The sequence below is a fragment of the Homo sapiens genome, chromosome 4 (genome assembly GCF_000001405.40).
Source record: "Homo sapiens chromosome 4, GRCh38.p14 Primary Assembly".
Lineage (NCBI taxonomy): Eukaryota > Metazoa > Chordata > Mammalia > Primates > Hominidae > Homo > Homo sapiens.
In genome coordinates, this window is record NC_000004.12 from 76,952,950 (window position 1) to 76,975,829 (window position 22,880).

The following is a 22,880-nucleotide window of genomic DNA, read 5'->3' on the forward strand; positions in this document are numbered from 1 at the left end:
TCTCCTAAGCTGTGGTGTTCATCAGTTTAAAAACTCTAGGAGTTGAAAGGAACGTTAGAGGTCATTTGGGTTAGCCTGCTCCCCAGTGCAGAAATATTTCTTACTTTATCCCTAACAAAAAATATGTGTTTAAACTTCACTGGTGGTGGAGATTTCCCTATGATATCCTTCAAGAAATGCACTTAATTGCTGTTTTATCTGTTGAGCTGAAGGAAATGGAAAACCAAGTTTCCATTTGCTCATTTAACACCATTTATTAAGCACCTGCTATGTGTCAGGAACTTGTTCTAGGTGTTGGGGATATAGCAGTGGACAAGTTTTCTTCTTACCAGGAGCTTTATTGTTTGAGAGATTTGGTGTATTAAAGTGACAGACTTCAGTGTAAATGTGTAAATCATTTAGGGAGAAAAGGAATTATATGCCTATTGCTGACTCAGCAAATATGATTCAGGTGAAGGATCATATCTGTCTGGGGATAATTATAGGCAATTCTTAAAGATGAGGGCAGGGAGTGTGGGAAGTGGAGGAGTACTGCCAATAAAATGTTACTTTCCCTTGTTATAAAATTGCCATTTTTGTGACTTGAAAATGTGGCCCCAGATGGATGGCTGTGGTCGGTGTGCCTGGAGAAACATGAATGGAGCCAAGAAAGGTCCAGGGGAGGGCCACCTAAACAATAAAGGGACTGTCATCTCAGGTCAGTTTTCAAAAATTAGAACTTTTTAGTCAGTGATATAAATTATACATACTGAGGCTCTATAAGCAGTTATTAAGGAATGCAAGAAGTTTCTGAGGTACAATAATCTCTCCTTTTAAAATCTTTCGAAAGTTATAGATTAATTTATCTTTTAAATTATCATCTTTAAAAATGATGTGTCTACATTACAGTGAAAAGGAGACCCAAGGAATTGATTAAAAGAACAAAACTGCCCATAACCCACTATCCTGATATAATAGTTCTTAGGTGTTTAGTCTATTTCACCACTTTTTTGAGCAGACATAACCCATCTTGTATAAACTGCCACCTAGAAACCAAACTGTGTGCCTGAATGAGTCCTGTGTGACCATTTGAATAATACTCTTAAAATGAAGGAAGTGGATGCTTAGTGTTTGGGCATGGGCCATCCTATGTCTGCAAAAGGAACAAATGATTGTGGGACTCTGCTGTTTCCTTGATTTGGATGGCCTACTTGATTGATTGCCAGCAGACCAAGTGTTTATATTCTACCCAATGATGATGTCACACTGATCATGATCATCGGATTTAGACTGTGGCGCAGCCCACAGAGTTTTCTGTGCCTGTGTTTCTCTTTATAGGACTCTAAATTTGGTTGGGGATAGACGCTGCTCTTGGATTTTATCATTTTATTGGGATCCATCTTTCATAGTCTTAGCTAGACCTGTCTCAAATGGGGTTAGCAAAGCTGAACCATTATTTAAATGAAACCCAACACATCTAAAGCTTCTATACTTTTTTCCAAGGAGATCTACTTTACAATATAATTGATAACCTCCCCCGCCCCCTTTTTAAAAATCTGGATTGACAGAAAACTCTCAAATAACAATACTTCCCCTGACCCACTCATGCCTGCTGGCAGCCCATCAATGCAGCAGCTGTTGAACATAAAAACAATACTTGGGCTAAGGTAATAGAGACAGACTTCTAAAAGGAATTTGCTGGGCGATCTAAAATGAAATTCACATTGTTCCAGGCTTGACCTGAGATAGAAATCAGGAGTCTGTTCCCTGATATGACAAAGCCAAGGCACCAGAGCCACCTCTTTTTAGGATCGACGCCAATGAGTGTGAGCACATCGCTCAAGCCAAATGGCACAGGAAGTCCAGTTCTGTGGACACATTCTGCCCACCTGCTGAACTGTGACTGGGTAGGATGGAGTGTGAAACATTGAGAGAGGGGTAGGCTGAGGTGGTGAGGTGGGAAAGAGACCATATTCTAAAAGGACCATTTTTCTGACAAGTGGGAGCTTTGTTTGTTCTTGTCTGTGTGTGATTTCTTTTTTATTTATTTATTTATTTTTTTTTGCATTTTTATTGTACAAAAAGGAAATGAAAATATATATAGCATAACATTAAAATTTACCTACTTGTTTTTGATAATAACATTCCTTTGGGAAGAATTGATTTTTTTTCTCTTATAGAAGTTGAGGCACAATAATGTGGATAGGTTAGAGATTGAAAAACAAAATAATCCTCAACACCCTAACACATCAGTACTCATTCTTGCCTTTCCAACCCACCTGTTTTATCAGACATTTCTTGTGTACCTTCTATATGCAGGTGCTGAAATTATGTTGGTGAGTACTTGACTGCAGTCTTTGCTGCTCTCATGAAATCTCTCTATAGGCTGAGTAAGCAATAGGATTTAGCAAGGAAAGGGAGATGGGGAGGTGGTTGTGGAAGTGTTCCAAGCCCAGGAAACAGCATGTGCCAAGCTCTGGAAGTGAGGGAGAGACTCTTAAGAAATCCAATGTAGCAGGAACGTCAGCCTTAGGGTTGGGTAGGGAGAGTGGACAGACAAGAGGCTGAGGAGGTGGGAAGAGACTCAGTTGTGCAGTGCATTCTTTATAGGCATGTATTTACTGTGTAGCTCTTTAAATGCTTTATATTCCATCCACCCTTTGCCCATAACTTAAGATATCTCAGATCCTTGAAATTGGTTGAAGGAAGACAAAGAAAATCTGCAGACTACTAATTCTTCAGGATTCAATAGGAGAGTTGAGAAACGATCAGGGGAGTTGATTCCTTTCATGCCCAAATTGAACCCTTAAAGAATAGAGGAAATGAAGACTGACAGAGGACACAGAGAAGGAGAGTCCAGTGACAACATATGACAACGACAATGCTAGATCTTCCTCTGCCCAGTTTTATGCATTGAGCCTTTCCTCAGGATTCAGAACTAGAAGTTATTATTTTCTTAGACCTAAGCAACTGAGTCCTGAAGAGTGTGGTGGGGCTGGGGGGGAAGATGGTAGGACTCTTTCCACCTTGGACTTCAAGTGGCAATCAGTGTTCTCCAAAAAGGAAATTAAAAACTCATTGGATTTTATGAAAACAGGAGAAGAGTCTGTTAAAAGCCAGGGTTTACTTAAGACTTCATGCTGTTTTAGTTATCTCATCTCTTTGAGTACTGTCTTCATACCAGTATAAATTTTGTGAATCTCATTAAGGTACTCATTAAACTTACTCTGACCTGCTGTTGGAGGGCAAAAGGCTTGACCAAAAACTTCTGTGCACGGGAAGCTTGTTCAGCATCTTGATTTTCAAATTTATTCAATTCAAATTACTGTCAAGACAATTATCTCACCTTATACTCACAAAATACCTGAGAAGTAATATAGAGAAGGAAAATGAGACAGGAAGAAGTTGTCAGTTAATCTGCTACAGCAAATTTGTGGGAGAGCTAGGCTTTGGAACCAAAGGCTTTTAGACCAACATGCATACAGACCTCCCATCTGATTCAGTCAGTTAAGCTAAATTATGTTGCGGTAACAAATTGGCCCCATGTTTTGGTGGCTTACATAGCAAGGGTTTATTTCTCATGCAGCTGTTCCACCCTCGGAGGTCTGCTGCATACTGCATTGCCTCCAGGACCCAGGCTGAGGGAGTATCCTCTATCTGGGCATTGCCAGCCTGGTGGCAGAGGACAAAGAGACATGCTGAACCCTGGCTTCTCAAGAGCTGGCTTCTCAAGCTCTTAGATGGGTCACTTCCATGCAGATTGTATTGGCCAAAGTAAATGGTCATTCCTAAATTCAAAAGAATGAGGATAGAGAATCCTCCTGTAAAGAGTGGCTCTGAAAGACCCTTGGGCTGGGGAAGTAAATCCCCCTCTAGGGAGGGCAGTGAATATTTTGAATAACAGTTGGCTAGATTCCTAGTCAAGGAATCTACTATGAAGCCAAGTCTTTATTTTTAAAATTGTATCCCTGTCTGTAAGGATTTTTCTCCCTCTATTTGGCCTGCTCTGATTCTAGCTGGGCATAGTAGAATGATGTGTGTGTGTGTGTGTGTGTGTGTGTGTGTGAGAGAGAGAGAGACAGAGACAGAGACAGAGAGAGATAAGAGTTAGGCAGCCACAATGAATTGAAGTCAGAGTGAATTCTCCTACTCACTGGTGATGAGCTTCCAGGGACATCACCATCAAGTAAGTCATGGGTGGTAACCTTCTGAAAGGCCTTCTGTGCTGCTCTCTGATGACCTCAGCTGTGGAAGTGTACTCTCTGGGAAATGGTTCTGAGGCCATTAGGACTTCCAGCTGCTTGACAGAATGATTTCCCTTGGGACCTCGGCCCTTTGGACCTTTCCCAGCCATATGTCCCTAAATGCAGATGAATCAGATGGCACCCTTCTTTCCCTTGCTCTGTTTTTCTCTCTACTGAGAGGCCATAGTGTATAGCGTTTGGGTGAAAAATGTGGGCTCTGGAGCCAGGTTGCTCCGGTTCTAGAGTATCGGTTTTACCATTTAACAAGCTTTGTGTCCTTAGGCAAGTTACTTCCCTCATCTGTAAAACACTAACAGTACTTCCCTCAAAGAGTTACAGATTAAGCCAGTTAGTACACACACAGTGCTTACACTGCTGCCTGGAACATTCATCCTCAATAAAAGTTGGTTATCTGAGGAAAATGGTGCTGAAATAGTAATGGCTTTATACTGAAGACTGGGCTCAAACCAGAACTGCCACTCCACTCCACCCCACCCCAGTGGGAACTGAGCAATTGCCCCTTCTCTTGCACACCTGAACCACACAGGCTTCCCATTTTCTAATCATAGCACACCTTAGAGGCACGGATCAAGCATACCCTCCATGAAGCCTCCACCCATGAATCACCAAAATTTTGGCGATTTTTATTTATTTGAATTGCTGGCAACACTTATGTGTCATCCACATAGTGCTCTGGAGTCCCCACCCCACCTTTCCTTAAGTTACCTTTTTTAAAAAAAGTGACTGTCAAATATAATTGTGAACATAAAAACACAAAACAAAAAAACCTTATTACCTACCATAAGCAATATGTTCCACTAGCCCTTGACCACATTCTTGCATTCTTAGTCTAGATAGCCAGACTTAAGGGAAAGGACTATATGTCCTATACCCCCCACCAATAAACATTTGACTCAATAAGTGAAAATTCACCCTTCAGATAAATTGGATAAGACGTATTGTCTAAGACGTGTGCCTACCTGGCTGTTGCTGTGTCAACCCCCGGTAGGTGTAGACCTCGCAAGTCCACTTTCTGCCCCAGGCTTCTCTGCCATCGCCACCTGGGTTCTGCTTAGCTATTCTGACCTTTGTGCACTTCTGGACATCCAAAGGAGTTGCCATCCCAGGGGGCAACCCCCTTGAGATGGTGGATCTACATGGCTCCTCAATTGACCTGGCTCCTTAGAAGTTCCCCTCTGGGCCCCAGCCTCAGCCCTCAGGGGTGATTACTCTACAGTCCCCTTAGGGTGGCCTTCCCTCTTCCCCTGTTTCACTTTTCCCTGTCCCCCATTCTGTTCCCCTGGGTCACTTCCCAGGACTCACATGCATGCAAGTCCCTGTCTCAAGTCCTTGCATTTTGGGGAAACCTAGATGAAAACGCCTTGTTTACTAGTGTGGGGCTCGTCTTTTCCTTATACAAATAAGGGAGTATGAATGTTAATTTTGTAATATACTAAGCTACTTTGGATGTTTTAAAAAATACTCAGAACAAACTGACTTTTTACCAGGTTTTCACTACTATTTGTAAGACGCGGTTTTTGTTGTTGTTGTTGTTAGAATTAATGTTTTATTGTCACCCAGATGGCAATTAGGTTTATAATCTTCATACTTTATGTTTTTTGTAAATTAAAAAAAAATAAGTTTTAAATAGTCAATGGCTGGTTATATTTTCAGAAAACATGATTAGACTAATTCATTATGGTGGCTTCAAGCTTTTCCTTATTGGCCCCAGAAAATTCACCCACCTTTTGTCCCTTCTTAAAAAACTGGAATGTTGGCATGCATTTGACTTCATACTCTAAAGCAACATCCTGACAGTCATCCACATCTACTTCAAGGAATACCATGTTGGAATACTTTTCAGAGAGGGAATGAAAGAAAGACTTGATCATTTTGCAAGGCCCACACCATGTGGCTGAGAAGTCAACTACAAGTTTATTGCCTGCGGTGTCCAAGGCTTCCTGAAAAGCAACCTTGCTCTTGATCGTTTTACCATTCTTGGCTGCTGGGGTCTGATGAGCAACTGTAACGACCGATGGAAACGGATCCAAAGCACTGGACTGAGCTTGGACAAGACAAGGTTTTTTTTTTTTTTTAAAAATAATAATAATTATTATTTTTAATGGATACAGAGTCTTGCTATGTTGCTCAGGTTTGTCTCAAACCCCTGGCCTCAAGTGATCCTCCTGTCTAGGCCTCCCAAAATGCTGAGGTTACAGTTATGAGCCACGGGCACATGGCCAGATTAAAAAAGTAGACTCAAAAAAAAAAATTTGTATCGCATCACCTAGACTTTTCTATAATTTTCATTTCTGATTCTTTGGGATGGAACTCATAATCTCTCAGGGTGGCACTACTTGCTTTTGAATCTATAGTGCCTATTTTGTTCTGTAATGGGTTTAATTTACCCATTTCAAGTCAATTGCATTTTTATATTCTAGGATCTAGATCCAGAGTGAATGGGGGAAATTATGGTTTTGATACATGAACTATGAACTTAGGACAAAGCTTAAAACTCTTTTGAAAAAAAATAATCAAAGTTTTGGGCTTATATTGTCTGCATAAATTGGAAAAATGGGGTAATAAGAAACAACTTTAATTAGCTAACATTGAACAGTTTTAAGGATGGGGATTAATGTAGTATTTCCCTAAGAGTGTTTATTTTATTTTATTTTGAATTTTTTATTTTTGTGGGTACATAGTAGGTATATATATTTATGGGTTACATTAGGTATTTTGATGCAGGCATGCAATGTGTAATAATCACATCAGGGTAAATGGGGTGTCCATCACCTCAAGCATTTATCCTTTGTGTTTCCAACAATCTAATTGTACTCTTTTAGTTATTTTTAAATGTACCCCAAGAGTTTTTAAGAGAATTGTTCAAATGATCACTGCACTTCGTGTAAGCCATTCTCAGAGGCAGTTTCTGAGAATGTCATGGAAACTACGTAAACCAAGCTGATTCATTTTTAGATTCTCCTCACGTTTGTCACCTTTGCTCTCATTCTTTGAGGTGTTTGGTTTGACTTACGTGGGTAGGCAGTCTAAGACTAGTACTTTGGCCTGATAATTTGATTGTTTGTCACATGCCTCTTTGTTTTCAAAGCCTTTTCCAATCCTTAGTCAACCTCTTAACCACTGGGAATGTTGGATTGTCTGAAGTTGAAGCACAGTTTTCTCTCTGAGCCCTCTAAAGAAGTCTTTTAGTTGTTGATAATCAAATTTGCTCCTTCAGAAACTAAAATTCCAAGGTATTTTATGAACTTAAGGCAGATAAGATGAGGTCTCAGGTATCAAAATCACTAATAATTAATTTGCTGCCACTAGCTGCTGCTCCAAAGCTGACATTTAAGCTATGTGAAGAGGACCAAGTCTAAACTGGATTTTATAACCCAGTCAAAGCTGGGGGTGATGAAGACTCTCATTGACTTTATGTAATGGAGATTTATATAGGGATATTGGAGAGTTGGGGATACTGCTGAATATTTCTAAATCTCCTCTTTCTTGAAAAACTTATGCTTTTATTCCTCAGTGGCTTTTCCTATTTCCTGTTCATTAAGTCAACAAATATTGAGCCCCAGCTAACACCATGCATGAGTGACAATGTCAAAACCATATCCTTCTACTCCCCCACCAAACCAAATCAGAACCAAAATTTGTCTTTGGAAAATGGATCTCTTTGTCACTAAGGTTCAAAATTTTGGAATAAGGTTTGAATTCAGGGGCGAGTTATCAGGATGTGTTTTGTCGTTCCAACCTCCTGTCTCAAGTCATTCATGACTGTGCAGCATCAACCAGTCAGATATTTGAGGACCTTCTGTGTTACTTGTCCTGTGCTCCATGTTGTTGGAAAGCCTACAAAGTAGCTGGGGAGAAAAGGCTAAGACTCAGATAATGCTCAACCTCCATGACTGGGAGGATCTTGTCAGGCTCTTTTAACTAGTATTCAGCCCAACACATTTTCTTAGTAAACATGAGGAACTTGGCTTAGCATTCAGAAATAATAAGGCCCATTTTATTTCCCTTCTCTTTACCTTTTATAATGTAATTCGAGGACCCTTGAAAGGTAACCTCCAGCTTTTTTTCTTCCCAGGCTATCTTTCGAAATTTATTTTTTTAGTTTAAGGCGAGGATAAAAAGGGCACACCAAAGGGAATTGGGAAGTTTTATTAGAATCTGGATGGAATGTCTTCAGGCTCACTGACAGATTAATTTGTGCCCTATTTCCGCTACAAAACATTCTGACTGCCTGCACCATTCCACATGCTTTTGACTGGTAGACTAGTACAGATGCTCCTCAGCTTGCAGTGGGGTTATGTCCTGATAACCACATTATATTGAAAATATCTAAGTTTAAAACGCATTTAATACACCTCGCCTACTGAACATCAGAGCTTAGCCTAGCCTACCTTAAATATGCTTAGAACACTTACATTAGCCTGCGGTTGTGCAAAATCATCTAACACAAGCCTGTTTTATAATAAAGTGTTGACTATCTCAGGTAATTTACCAAATACTGTATGGAAAGTGAAAAATAGAATGGTTGTATAGGCATTTGAAGTGTGGTTTTTACTGAATGCGTATCACTTTTGTACCATTGGAAAGTCAAAATCGTAAGTTGAACCATTGTAACTGGGGACTGTCCGTGTTCTGTTTTAGAGCTGCACATGCATTTCTGCACCTGCCAACAGAATTTTATGCTTACTGGGTCAGTAGTTTGTTTTCAAACCTACTTACACTAGTTGTAATCATCATCATCGCCTAATTTAATGTTTTGTGAATCTATGAAATATAAGTGCAAAAATTGAATTGCTTCTAAATGAGATGCTTTGGAAAGTTTTAGTAAAGGTAAAAAATTTTGCTGAAATAAAACTGCCGTTAATTAAATATACATAAGATAATTGCAAAAAGTTGGAGCAAAAATTGTAAGAATCTAAAAAGAGCCTGTATTCAGATTGCATTGAAAACACTTTTAAGTTCTGTCTCCACATTAAATAAACAAACTGGAAATTATAGATGATGCCTGTGGGTTTGTGCTGGAAAGACACCCTTATTGATATTCCTCTGACCTATTATGATGAAAAAGCCTTGGCCTTTTGTCAAAAAATTGTGAATGAATGTATGTTTAGATGTTTTAAGGTGAATTTAAATGTTTTGGCTATAACTAGCGTTTTAAAAATCTCAATCTTTAAATGCCTTTTAAGATAAAATGTCCAGTTCCTGCTTCTAATAGTCTTAGCTTAAGGGACTTGTACTTAACAAAACATTTCCATATTCTAACACACGTACCCCCTGGTTTAGGATCATTGTGTGTATGGAATTATCCCCACATGGGGAAACGGGAAAAAAGGCTGAGAATTACTGGTTTGTCCTGGGTTGAGGTACACATGTCTCACTTGGCATTACCTATATTTAATTCCTTTCACACCCTGACGTAACTGGTTATCAGTTTTTTTGTGTTTGTTTTTTTCCTGATACTAGCTTTAGAGATAAAAGGACATTGGAAATACTGCCTGTTTAATCAGTTTCTCTTATGTTAGTCCAGAATAAGGGGAAATATGATTTGGGAAGCAAAATAAGCTCATTTGGAAAGGCAAAGTTATTTTAGTGATCTTTTAATGTATTTCTTTAAGGTATACACACAGTCACACACACACAAACACACACTCACATACCCCACATGGGATAATGGATAACTTAAAGATGTACTCAATCTGTCCGGGAAGGAGAAATTCTCTCATTATATGTAGATAAAAGCTGGGACCACTTAGTTCCTGGATTTTTGCATTCATTCAAGTGACTTGGCTTTTTGGCCCAAGTGGTGCATTCCAGCTATCCTTTGCTACTCTTACATTAGCAATTCGATTTAATTTTTAATCCCAACCATGGAAAAATTATGTGTTAAAAAAGCAAGTAGAAAGTTGTTTTTCTATTCCAATAAAGAGAGTGGGAGGAGAAAACTTAACAAATTTGAAGTTGAAATGTGTGATTTCTTAAACTAGAGTCATTTCAGAGTTTTTTTGGTCTTTAAATATACTTTTGGAATGTTTTCACTTGCACATTGGCTTTGCCACTAAACCCGTTGCACACACTGCAGTGGTTTCCTAATTGAAATTGTGCAATTCCACGTATTTTTCCTGTGATTACATTTCAGTGGGTAAAAGTTGATCTTCACAACAACTTTGTGAGGTGGGTTGGTTGGATATTATTCTTCACCCAACACCTTCACCTCCTTTTTGATTGATCAGGACTCAGACTTGCCCAAGGTAAACAGTGATGATCTTAAGGCCAAGTCTTCCGACTGTTGTTTACACCTTCTTCTACCATGTAGAGATACCACCCTAGGCTGCAGAACACTGTTGTCAGTTTGGAACTTCCATGATGATGGAAAATGTTCCACTATTGCATAGTTGCCATCACAGTCGTCAAATATGGCTTTTAAACACTTGAAATGTGGCTGGGATAGCTGTACAACTAAAATTTTTATTTTGTTTAATTTTAATTAATTTACACTTAAACAGCCACATGTGGCAAGTGGCTACCATACTGTATAGTGCAGCTTAGGAATGTAGTCTAGAAGTATTTATAGTCTGATCTTTCTCTTTTTTCCAAGAAAAACTTTATTTATTTATTTATTTTTTATTATACTTTAAGTTCTAGGGTACATGTGCACAGCATGCAGGTTTGTTACATATGTATACATGTGCCATGTTGGTGTGCTGCACCCATTAACTTGTCATTTACATTAGGTATATCTCCTAATGCTATCCCTCTCCCCTCCCCCTACCCCACAACAGGCCCCAGTGTGTGATGTTCCCCTTCCTGTGTCCAAGTGTTCTCATTGTTCAATTCCTACCTATGAGTGAGAACATGTGGTGTTTGGTTTTTTGTCCTTGTGATAGTTTGCTGAGAATGATGGTTTCCAGCTTCATCCATGTCCCTACAAAGGACATGAACTCATCCTTTTTTATGGCTGCATAGTATTCCATGGTGTATATGTGCCACATTAAGAAAAACTTTTTTTAATTAACAAAAATTCCAAACATACACAAGAGTAGAGAAAATAGTATAATGAACCCTTCCGTCCCATCACCTAGCCCAGTCATCAATTCTTGGCCAATCATTTTTTTTTTTTTTTTTTTGCATCTCCCCCTCCCATTTAAATTCATAGCCAATCTTGTATTGTCTATTTACCATTCTCTTTAGCCTCCTCGCTCCCTTCTCTAACCTCTTCCCTCACCTCTCCCCAAATTATTTTGAAGCAAATAACAGGCACTGTCTGATCTCATTTTTGTTTTAAGAGCCAAGCTGTGACCTGGGGAAGGAGGGGCAGTGAAAGGGATCAAGGAGAGATACTCGAGGATCTTCAAACGTATCTGTGATTTAAAAAGAAAGGATGAAGTATATGGATGGTAAAAGTTATGGTTTAACAAAGATAGGTCATGAGTATTCAGATACGTGATACTCTGTATGCTTGAGCTATTTCATCACCATCATCATCATCAAAAAGCCAAGTTGGAACTCACGTGGAAGTTACTGTGCCAGGCCTCGCTTACCTGTGCTTATCTTGAACTTTGGGTTTATGCATAATTTAAAACACTTAAACATTATTTCTGTGCAATATTTATCATTGAGCTTTATTGAATACCAGCAGTGCTGTAGAGTCATGGGACCTTTAAAAGGTCAAAAGAAAGCTGAGGATCATTTTAGTCTAGTCTCCTCAGAAAGCTTAGCTCCTGAGAGAAGTAGCTTGATTTGAGCTCATATCAAGTGGCCCAGTGCTTCCTGTCATTTACCACACTTGCCAGAACGACTGATTCACTGAGTTAAAACTTGGCATTGCTAAGTCATTCTTACCTAGCTTTTAAAATGACAGATTCTTATGACCTCTTTGAGAGCAGAGATATGCCTAAGTCTGCTTGCTTGGCATTGTAGATACTCTTGTTAGAGAGAAATGTTTTCATCATTAATAGTATAAAAGAGTCATTTATCAGGCCACACATGGTGGCTCACACCTGTAATGCCAGCACTTTGGGAGGCCAAGGCAGGCGGATCACCTGAGGTCAGGAGTTCGAGACCAGCCTGGCCAACATGGTGAAACCCCATCTCTACTAAAAATACAAAAATTAGCCAGGCGTGGTGGCGTGCACCTGTAGTCCAGGCTACTTGGGAGGCTGAGGATGGAGAATCACTTGAACCTCGGAGGCAGAGGCTGCAGTGAGCTGAGATTGTGCCACTGCACTCCAGCCTGGGCAACAGAGCCAGACTCCATTTCAAAAAAAAAAAAAAAAGGAGTCATTTATCAAATTTTGTCTTTTGGGCTTAGAATTTATGCCTATTACTGGTGGTATAATATTATGTATTATTGCCTATATAATACATATTATATATAATTTATTATAGGAAATACTTATTTTAATATTTCTATTTCTAAAAGAAACTTGTGTATCAAGTACATTTTAGTCATATGAACAGACACATTGAAGGAAATAATGCTTGCACCAATGATATTTAAAAGTGCAGTTTTCCTCACAACATAAAGCAAGAATTGTTGCTATGCTTTTATAGTTTAATTTAGGAGCCAATAGTGATTTTCTCTCATGACAGAGTGCAGAATATGTATATTCTAAATTTGGAACCCTATACACGGTATCTTAGGATTTAAAGGGAATGGTTTTGTGATGGTAAAAGGATCTTGTATCATCGGAAATGCTCTCAGGGCTTGGCTCAGCTGTCTATTGATGTAAAAAGATAATGTGCTTTAGAAAAAGAGCTATATTGAAATTTTCACCAACTTTCTGATGGACAACTGCAAGCTTTCAGCTATAAGAGGCTGCCATTTCTTTTACATGGTTTTGTCTCCAGCAGAGTCTGCCCTTTGTGTTCCCTTAGGCTTTGTTAACTATGTTCCTGGGAGAGAAGGAAAGTCTGTGTTTCATCTCATCATCTGTGTTGCAGTTTAGTCCAGTTTGCTTTATTCCATGGTGAGTGGAGAGAGTAAGTAGTTGGATGGCGCCCTACATTTTAATGTTACCACAACTCAAGATTTATGCTAGTTTTGCAAAGAATTCTCTCATGAAATGAGTTTTATCTCCACTTGACAAGAGACAGTTGAATCCACAGTAGGGCTAAGAAGAAGATTTAGGAAGATATTTGGTCAAATTAGTTATCCTGTGCTTTTTATGCAGGATAGAGACAGGAAACTGTTAAGGCTTGTAAAATGACTATGACCTGATTAGGCAAATATAGCAACTATTTTCAGCAAAGAAGCCACAAGATGAGTATAGCTGACTTTTTTTTTTTTTAATGTATAAAGTTTGGAGATTTTCCAGTGATTTTCTAATAGACCAAATTTAAATCTAACAATAATACATCTTGAAAAAAATTAAAAATTTATGTAATCAGCCAGGCATGGTGGCTCACACCTGTAATTCCCAGCACTTTGGGAGGCCGAGGAAGATAGATCACTTGAGCCCAGGAGGTTGAGACCAGCCCCGGCAACATGGTGAAACCCCATTTCTCAGAAAAAATACAAGAATTAGCTGGGAGGTGGTGGCGCTCACCTGTTGTCCCAGCTACTCCGGTGGCTGAGGTGGGAGGATCGCTTGAGTCTGGGAGTTTCAGGCTGCAGTGAGCCGAGATTGTGCCACTGTACTCCAGCCTGGGAGACAGAGGGAGCCCCTGTCTCAAAAAATATTAAGTAGTCTAGATCTCAGTTAATGCTTATGCTTTATTGTAGTTAGAAAAGTGCTTAACCTGGCCTGTAATCCCAGCACTTTGGGAGGCCGAGGTGGGCAGATCACTTGAGGTCGGGATTTTGAGACCAGCCTGGCCAACATGGCAAAACCGTGTCTCTACTAAAAATACAAAAATTAGCCAGGTGTGGTGGCTCACACCTGTAATCCCAGCTACTTGGGAGGCTGAGGCACGAGAATTGCTTGAGTCCAGGAGGCAGAGGTTTCAGTGAGCCAAGATCATGCCCCTTTACTGCAGCCTGGGTGACAGAGTGAGACTCCATCACAAAAAAGAAAAGAAAAAGTGCTTAACCTGATGTAGCTATAACATTAATAAGAAATAGAAATTTATCTAACTTTCTCTTTAGTTAATGGCCAATGGTTTATACACAGTTTTGGTTAAGCTTCAATTAGGTTCCGTGTTGAATTATTGATGGCATGGTAAGATGATAGTAAGGGAGGCAAATGTGTAAGCCATCTATGAATGAGCTTCATTATTTAGCTTATTTATTTGAGGGAGAAAAAGTACCAAAAAGGCAACCCACATTCTTCAGTTAAACTGCTGGAAAAACACATGCCACCTCTTGGCTCTGACTAGGAAATGGGGGCCTGATGGTGCCATAGTCTTCAGTTTTTCAAAAGAAGAGATGGACATTTGGAATTTGATGTGAAATTTCCACATCTGACAATGTTGGCAACTAAATGTTTTAAAAATACTGTGTGGGTCACATAAACACATTTGCTGGTTGAGTCTGCCAATTTGCAATCTGATTTCCATTGGAAATAAATTTATTTGTTTTTCTTGTATTTGAATAAAGGAACCATTAATAGTTTTTTTTTTTTTGGTATGCCTTTTAGAATGATTTAACATTTGAACAATTTAAGCTTTTTGTGTGTGCAGAAAATGTGGCTGCTTTTAAAATACAAGTGAAGCAAGTGCTTGAACTCTGATATTAAAACATATAGATTGGTTGAGGACAACATCAACATTTTTGAATTGTTTCTGTAACAGGATTTCTCCAATACAGGCCCGGCCATAAGAGAGCAAATTTGGAGAACCAAAAGTTGATGTATGGTGTGAGCAGGCCCACAGCTGAGGGAGTGGGAGGAATTCTAGAGTGTGTGGTAGCCAAGCAAATGTGGCTCCGCAAAAACATATGCTATATATAGTGAATGGGGTTGGATTTTCTATTTTTGGTTGAGTTCCAATGACAGTTAATGGCTGTTCCTATAGGCCATGAAATTATTTATGAATTCGGCAGTGGGACGATATAAAATGCAAGTTGATATAGGTAGAATAAAATTTGTTACCAAATTTCAACAAATTATTAGTGCTAGAGCCAGAAGGGCCTTCAAAGGTCACCTTATAAAGGACCTTCCTTTAAGATGAGGAAACTGAGGCCTGGGGAATTGAGGCTTAAATTTCCCATTAATCCTTATTGAGGCCTAAGGACTTAAGTTGAGGCTTAAATTTCCTGTTAATCCTTCCCTCTACAGCTGAAACCCAGCATCCTCCCTTCTTTTCGGTCTTCCTGCCTATACAAAAATGCATCTTCTACGAACTATTAGTGACAATTAGAGTCTCAGAAAAACAAAAAAGGCAGATGTTTTGTAAGCAGACTATTTAGAAAACATCTTTCTAAAAGGTTGATTTAGGCTGTCTTTCTAATTATTGGAACATTTTTATTGATAAAATTTCTGTTGTTTTTGTTATGAGTTTTGAGACTCTTCTTTTCCGAAGCCTACTCTTTCATAACCTTTTTAAGAAGCAAAAAGCCAGTGAGATCATTAACAGTAAAAGAAAAAGATGTGGCAAAATTGCTCTTGATTTTACAGAATGTCCTAGTAGTGGGTTGAACCACATGAAAGTTGATATCCAGCCATTTCTCAACTACAAAAATAGTAGCTTCATGTGATTCAAGATGGTAGCTTGAGCAAAATGGTAATAAGGAGTATTGATGTATCTTCCTATTCTTAAAGAAATCCGTGGCATTTTACATGGTCATTGAACACTCCACCCCTCTCAATTTATTCTACTCAAACACTGTTACGCCAGAGCATTTTTATTGAGAAATATGGAGTTGGAAGTTAAAGGTTCCATGTGTACATGTGGAATAGTCTTCTTCCCACATGTTATGTTTGGCTTGAAACATAGTCTTCTTGCCTTGAAGAAAAGACTCCCTAGCTAAAGTCAGATGCTGGATTTGTCTCTAATTTTTCAGGCCAACAGAAGCAAGTTGGCGGCGGGAGCTCTTTTCATGCTCAGTCTTGGTCATGAGCACAATAGTTTCATATGTAGTTCTTAATATTACAACTTGCATTGAGGATCTGGGACTCTTGAACACATTGTCTTGTTGTAATCGTATCCTAATTCTGATTTGGGAGACAGGGTGAATGAGCCTCCAGAGACCAGTATTGAACTTTAGACCTCTTCTTCTGCTGGTTTTCTAAATCGAATCCACTGAATATTTGTTTGGCCAAACAAATTTTTAAAATAAGTGGCATTTTAGCATTTTGGAGATTACAAAAGGTACAAAATATGAGACATTTGAACTTCACTTTGAAAGTTACAGAGAAATTTGAGAAAATGTTGGGAACTCTGAATCATATTTCAGGCCCCTAACTAAATAAAATAAATCTTTGACTTTGGGCATCAAGGGAATTAATAAATGTATCCATGCGAATTTTTCTTAAGAAATTAGAAAAGAGAAGTCCATATGCAATCCAGTCGATAGGAGTAGGGTAAACTCTACCGACTTCATGGTTCATAAAGATTAGAGTGTATCACAGCTGAGTAAACACAACCAAGGAGGCATCACAAACAGCAACATAGTAATGGGATTTTTCTCTACTACTTTAAACCAGAGGGTTAGTTAAAAATTCACTTCTGACATTTCTAGCCCTTTTCTGACTATTAGTTAAAAATTCAGATGCTTTCCTCCAGTTCTTAAAAAGCATTTCATAATACTTTTGTATGAACTGTAGAACTAAAGGGCCCTTTTCTTGGGGTTTCCAAAAGAAAAAAGGTATTGGAGAGACTAAATCTATTTTTTCTCTCTTATTTCTGCAAAAATGCCCTTCCATACTTCTGTTCCCTTCAGAATAAATAACAGCTCAACTCCCAGCATGACATGCATGCCCTTCCGAGACTTCATGCCTGTCTTCCTACAATCTCCATTAGGCTACCTGCTGGGCCCTGTGTGTGTACCCTTCGCTTACCTCTGCTTTTGCATTTCACCTAAATGCCTTTCTCTTTGGCCTGTTTCCAGTCTCTCTATCTAGTCATCCTTCAGGACTCTCAACCAGGCAGAGTTAGGAGGACTAGTTTTCTGAATTCCCATTTTTCTTAGGCTTCTCTAATCAGCAGATACTGTGTTGTACCATAATAGTTTTCACGCCTTATTAATTTTTGTATCTTAAACACAGCATAGAGTAGTGGCTAGCACAAAGGAGTTATTCAGTAAATGCTTCAAAAGTAATTGTGCAGTTACAGGCTCAGGTCTCTTGCTATGTAGAGCGACTTAGTCAGAAAACATTACTGTGGCAAAACATCCTAAAAGGAGATTGCAGAACAAAGAATTTAACGATCTCCTAAATTTTCTCCAGGAATTCTTACAGTTATCAGTATTTAGTGGTTGAGCATCTGACAACAGGAAGCTTTGAAGGGCTGAGAAATAAAGACATGCAATGAATTGGCTTAAGATTTTAATTTTCATTTCACCTGTTTTCTAGTCTCAGTCCAATTTTTCTCAGCCCTGGATTGCTCAGACCATACTAGTTGGATTGGACAGAGTGTAATATAATTTACTCCTATCAATCAGAAAATACTACAGTGACTGGTGAGGCAGCCTTAGCAAATGATATAGGTATTTCTCTTTGATGCTGTATTCAGGGCCTTCCCCTGGGCTTTTCTTAGTAATTGAAATTATGTGTATAGGATTGACTCCTGAAGCTGTTTTTTATGGAAATTAGTGGGCATCTTTCAGTATTTTCATTTTCATTGCTTATTTGCTTCCAGAAAACTACCAACATGCTTGATGAAAGTTCTAGAAATAATGTGAGAGGTGATTATTCATTAGATATCTTTGTCCTGTGGAAGTGGGGAAACAGGATTCATTGGAACAATAAGTATTTACATTTTAAAAGTTTATATATGATATCTGTATGTATATCTTACATAAACATACATAAATGTCTAGCAGAATTGATGTTGAATTAATAGAGAACAACATTTTAAATATTTTCTACTGTGGAATTGTTTAATGTGGGAAAGACTATACAAGGTGCTTCATAGTTTCAATATAGTTCCAATCAGTTGAAACCATTAAAAACCTATGATACATTAATATATCAAACCTATGAGATGTTAATATTATATGCATTTTACAAGTAAAGATAGAGGCTCAGAAGTAACTTTCCCCAAAGTCATTCCCCTAAAATATGGCAGAGCTGGAGTCTTTACTTCTGACTCCCAGCCAATGTTTATCCCACTATTCCATGCTGCTTTTTTTTATATTAATTATGGAGAGGTTTTTTTTTTTAGCCTTTCACCTAAAATATTGAGATTTGAGTACTAAATTTAAGAATAGCACATGGACTTCATGCAGACATCAATGTATACTGGTGAAAGGAAACACTAATTTTTAGCTTAAGATTAGATTTAGATTTAGATTTAGATTAAGATTAGATTTAAGATTTAAATCTTTCTACGTATTGTGATCAGAATATTGAGGAGGTTGTTTTAGCTAAGTACTTTTTAATTGTGACCTTTGAATCTTGTCTTAAGCACAACACTTACGAAGATGCCAAGACTTTATGAGCTTCTTAGAAGGGCAGTATTCACTTGAGAAAGCAGGAAAAAGGAAACCACTTTAAAATAAAAAAACTTTGGAGCTATTCATTGATACACTGTTCATCTTTAAAGAACGTGGTGAAGGTCTAGGTATAAAATGCCAAATGGTTGTCACAGCTGCCCCATACAGCTCTGCATTGTCTTCTTAAAAACAGACCTTTTAAAATATGAGGATGTAAGCTATTTTTTTAAAAGTAATTGTTAACTAAAGATGGCCGGTGGATCCACAAGATACCACAAGCTCCAGGTTGTTACGATCCCCAACTACCATGACTTAGTGAGGTTGGACATCTTTTTATGTGGTTATTGGCCATTTCTATTTATTTCTCTGCAAATAACGTATTCACATCCTTACCTTCCTCCACTACCTGCCCCCCTACTGCCCTGCCAATTGGGCTATTTATCTTGTTGAGGTTCATCCTTTATTGTATGTGCAAATATCTTCTCCTAGCCAGTCATGTATCTGTACTTTTGTTTTTGGTGTCTTGTTACACAGAAGTTCTAACTGTGCCATCTTTTCTCTTTGGTTTGTACTTTTGGTGTGTTGTTTTAGAAATCTAGATCACTCTTCACTGAAATTCACTTAATTATATTTAACTACTGTTTTGTCTTTTGCTTGGTGGTTTAGAAGGGGCAAGAACATAGCAACTGCTAAGAAACACAGTTCATTCACCCAGTGGGAGAAGTACTGAACTAATAAATTAGAAGCAACTCAAAGAAAGCAAACAGCTTGGAACCTAAGGCATGAAAAGGAAGAGCACTCAGGAATCCAGCCTTTTTAGTTGGGGCAGGCAATTAATGCTCTGTGATTTGAAGAAATGTTTATGAGGTAATTAACACCTAACTTGTAATTAGCAGTTGAGTACAAACTGAGCTAGATGAAAAACAAGCAAGGGAGCCCTTAAGTTAGTGATAGGGTCGTTAACTAAGGTTGTTAATGTTTGCTGTTTTGGGGGAGATATCCCATTTTAGTACTCCTTTCACTTAGGTTATTTTCTGATTTATAGATTAAAATTCTCATCAAAACAATAATAAGTAATAATACTGGGCACTCATTCTGCTAGGCACTGTGTCTAAGGACTTCATATACATGATCTCATTCTGTCAACAGACTTATGAGTAGATGCCATAATTATGCCATTTTACAGATGAGAAAACAGGCTCAGAAAGGCTAATTAACACTCCCAAAGTCCACAGCTGGCAAGTAAATGGTGCCAGGATTGAAGTCAATTCTTTCTTCTCTCACAGGTGCCCAAATGTGATGTTACACATTTTTAAAAATAAAAAGTAGATGAGAAGAAACCGGGTGGTGAGTAGTTGAAGTCAGTGATGGGGCCTGTTATGCTTTAAATCAAGTATCGTTGGCATGCCCTGGGAGAGTTAGTTGCTCTTAAAGTTTCTGCAGGACTTTATCACTCAAAGCCTGTGTGGGGGGAAACAAAAAAGTCAAAGCTCCATCTCTCCTGGGGTCCCTGCTTTTCTACATTCGCTTTGCTGCTACCCACCAGGATGACAGACGGGTCTGCCTCTCTTTTCCAGCCCCAGCCTTGTTCCACAGCATCCCTTCAGTCAGTCAGGTCCAGAGAAACCCACCTGTCACTCTGGTGCAAGGGAACTGGCTGTGGCTTGCAGTGCGTGTGTGCATGATACAGCATACGTGTGTGTGGAGCAGCCACGCAGCGCAGCACAAGGGAGGCAGCTCAGCTGTTGATGCCCAGAGGAGGGCCCTCTCCCAAGGTTCCTCATCAGCTCTTCAGCTCTCCACACAGCTCAGCATGGATTTCCTCAGACCATCCCAAACATAACCTTACATTTTGGTGAAAATTTGTCTACTACTTTTTGTATGACACAAATCGAGCAAACAGCACAGAAACCAAAATCTATTTATTTGGAAATATTCTGAAGCGATTCACTGGTATAATTTCATAGTGTTAAAGCGGGTTAGAACCCAGGCTCTGTTACTTACTTGCTCTAAGAACTTGGGCGAATTTCTTTGTGTCTCTGTGACTTTGTTTCCACATCTGCGAGGATGTACACTTTAATGCATTTTTTATGCACCTTAGACCAGTGCCTGGCATATAAATAATACCTTCTGAATGTTAGCTAGTTTTAGAGATGTAAAGCACTAAGCCACTATTTCCAGAGCGGTGGTCCTGGCACTATTTCAATACACCACCAACATTTTATATTCGTATCACTAATAGTTTTGGTGATTTGATACCACTTTTACCTCTCCTCATAAATCAAGGCATTTTGTGGTCTCTAGAGAAGTAGGGTTCATTTGAGCCCCAGAATACAGCTTCTGGCTTTGGATCTATGCTTTTCCAGCAATCTTTTGATCACTCACATGTTGTCCCCTCATTTGAGCCTAAAGAATTGGTTTCTCTCCCCTCTCATATTGGTGGTGTTCATAAGTTCTACCCACTAGCAGTTGAAATTGGGACAAAAACATCCCAGATGTCCCGTGACTCTTCCTAATTCCTTTTCCTGTTGTCCTCTTTCTTTCTTAAAATTATCCCCCTTTGCCATGGTACTGGTCCACTATTTAAAGGTCAGTGACTCATGTTGTGCCTCAACACTCTGCCAATCCCTGTACCGGATGCTGGGGAGGCAAAGTGAATACCACTTCAGGTTTTTGTTACTGGAGATTTCATAGAGTGTTAGAGCAGGAAGGGCTCACAAAGAAACAATCTCATCTAGCCCTTTTATTTTACAGAGAAAGAAGCCAAGACCCAGGAGAGTGAGTGACCTGCTTAAGACCCATAGGCTCAGAACTGGAGCCAAATCCCCTGACACTTGCCCACACTACAAACCCAAGGACAGTAGAACTAAGGCGTTCTAGATAGGTCATTTGTAGACAGATTCTTCAGTCGTTTCACACTGCCAAGTGGAGAAAACCCAAACTCCCCTTCTAGTCACCGATCTTGTGTTTAGGACCCTGGACACTGGTTTATTTATGGTGAAAAGAATCTCACTGTTGGAGCTGGGCTGCAGATGGAATGAATCAAGTTTAACTTAGGTCCTCAATGCAGTTGGATATTTTATGGTAAGCTACCCTTTGTAAGAAATGTGAGCGCTTGGGTGGGTGTGGTGGCTCATGCCTGTAATCCCAACACTTTGGGAGGCCGAGGCAGGCAGATCACTTGAGGCCAGGAGTTCAAGACCAGCCTGGCCAAAATGACAAGACCCCATCTCTACTAAAAATACAAAAATTAGTCAGGTGCGGTGACACGTGCCTGTAATCCCAGTCACTCAGAAGGCTGAGGCATGAGAATTGCTTGAACCCAGAGGTTGCAGTGAGCAGAGATTGCGCCACTGCACTCCAGCCTGGGTGACAGCAAGACTATGTTTCAAAAAAAAAAAAGAAGAAAAAAGAAAAAAAAAAAAAAGAAATGTAAGCCCTTTTAAAAGGCTTATTGAACACAGCTTGAGTTACTCTTGGTGCCTCTCGTGTGTGTATCTCTAGGACTAAAGAATAACTAATGCCTTGCGGACAACATAGAACGTGGTTGGAAAACTCTTTCTACCATCCCAAAGTGTTTACTATGACTATGTCAGCTTGGGGCATTTTTGGTTAGTTGGTATACTTTCTACAAACATGAAGTACTTCCCGTAGCCATTCCCATAGGTTTTTGTTGCAACTTCAATCCGCTTCTATTATTATTACTTCAAGTTTGAAATATATTTACTTATTCACTTAAAATAACAATAATAAACTTATTACATGTTAATGTAAATAACATTGTTTTATGAAAAATACATTTTTCAAGTCAAAAAATTAGCTGAGATGCATTGTTTCACATTTTGCAAATTTCTTTAATGTCTGACTTAATGGACAGCTGGGTCATCAGATCTGTATTTCATTCACTCTGATGCAGCGTATTCTTTTGGTTGAAGTACCTGAAGATCCAACCTCACATAGGTATGTGGTTGGAAAAGGAGGAACTTATATACCCCTAAAAGGTTCTTGGGGAGGACCCAAGGATTCTCTTACCAAATTTTGAGAACCACTTTCTTTAAAGTAACTCATCTACTCTCTGTATCTTTACCTTCAGTCTTCTCTAAGGA

At 39.0% G+C, this 22,880-nt stretch overlaps 1 protein-coding gene and 1 pseudogene across 8 annotated transcripts in view; one reads left to right on the forward strand and one right to left on the reverse strand.

The window, feature by feature from the left end:
* SEPTIN11 (septin 11) overlaps positions 1–22,880 on the forward strand; it is a 90,403-nt gene that overhangs the window by 3,198 nt on the left and 64,325 nt on the right. The window contains exon 1 of one of the 8 annotated variants that reach the window (XM_047415960.1): positions 6,323–21,858. The exons of the other annotated variants lie outside the window; for them this stretch is intronic. Coding sequence (XP_047271916.1) covers positions 21,856–21,858 — 3 coding nt within the window. The 5' untranslated portion in view covers positions 6,323–21,855. Of the gene's footprint in view, positions 1–6,322; positions 21,859–22,880 lie in introns of those variants that run through there. 8 annotated transcript variants of the gene reach the window in all.
* TXNP6 (thioredoxin pseudogene 6) lies at positions 5,775–6,291 on the reverse strand (annotated as a pseudogene).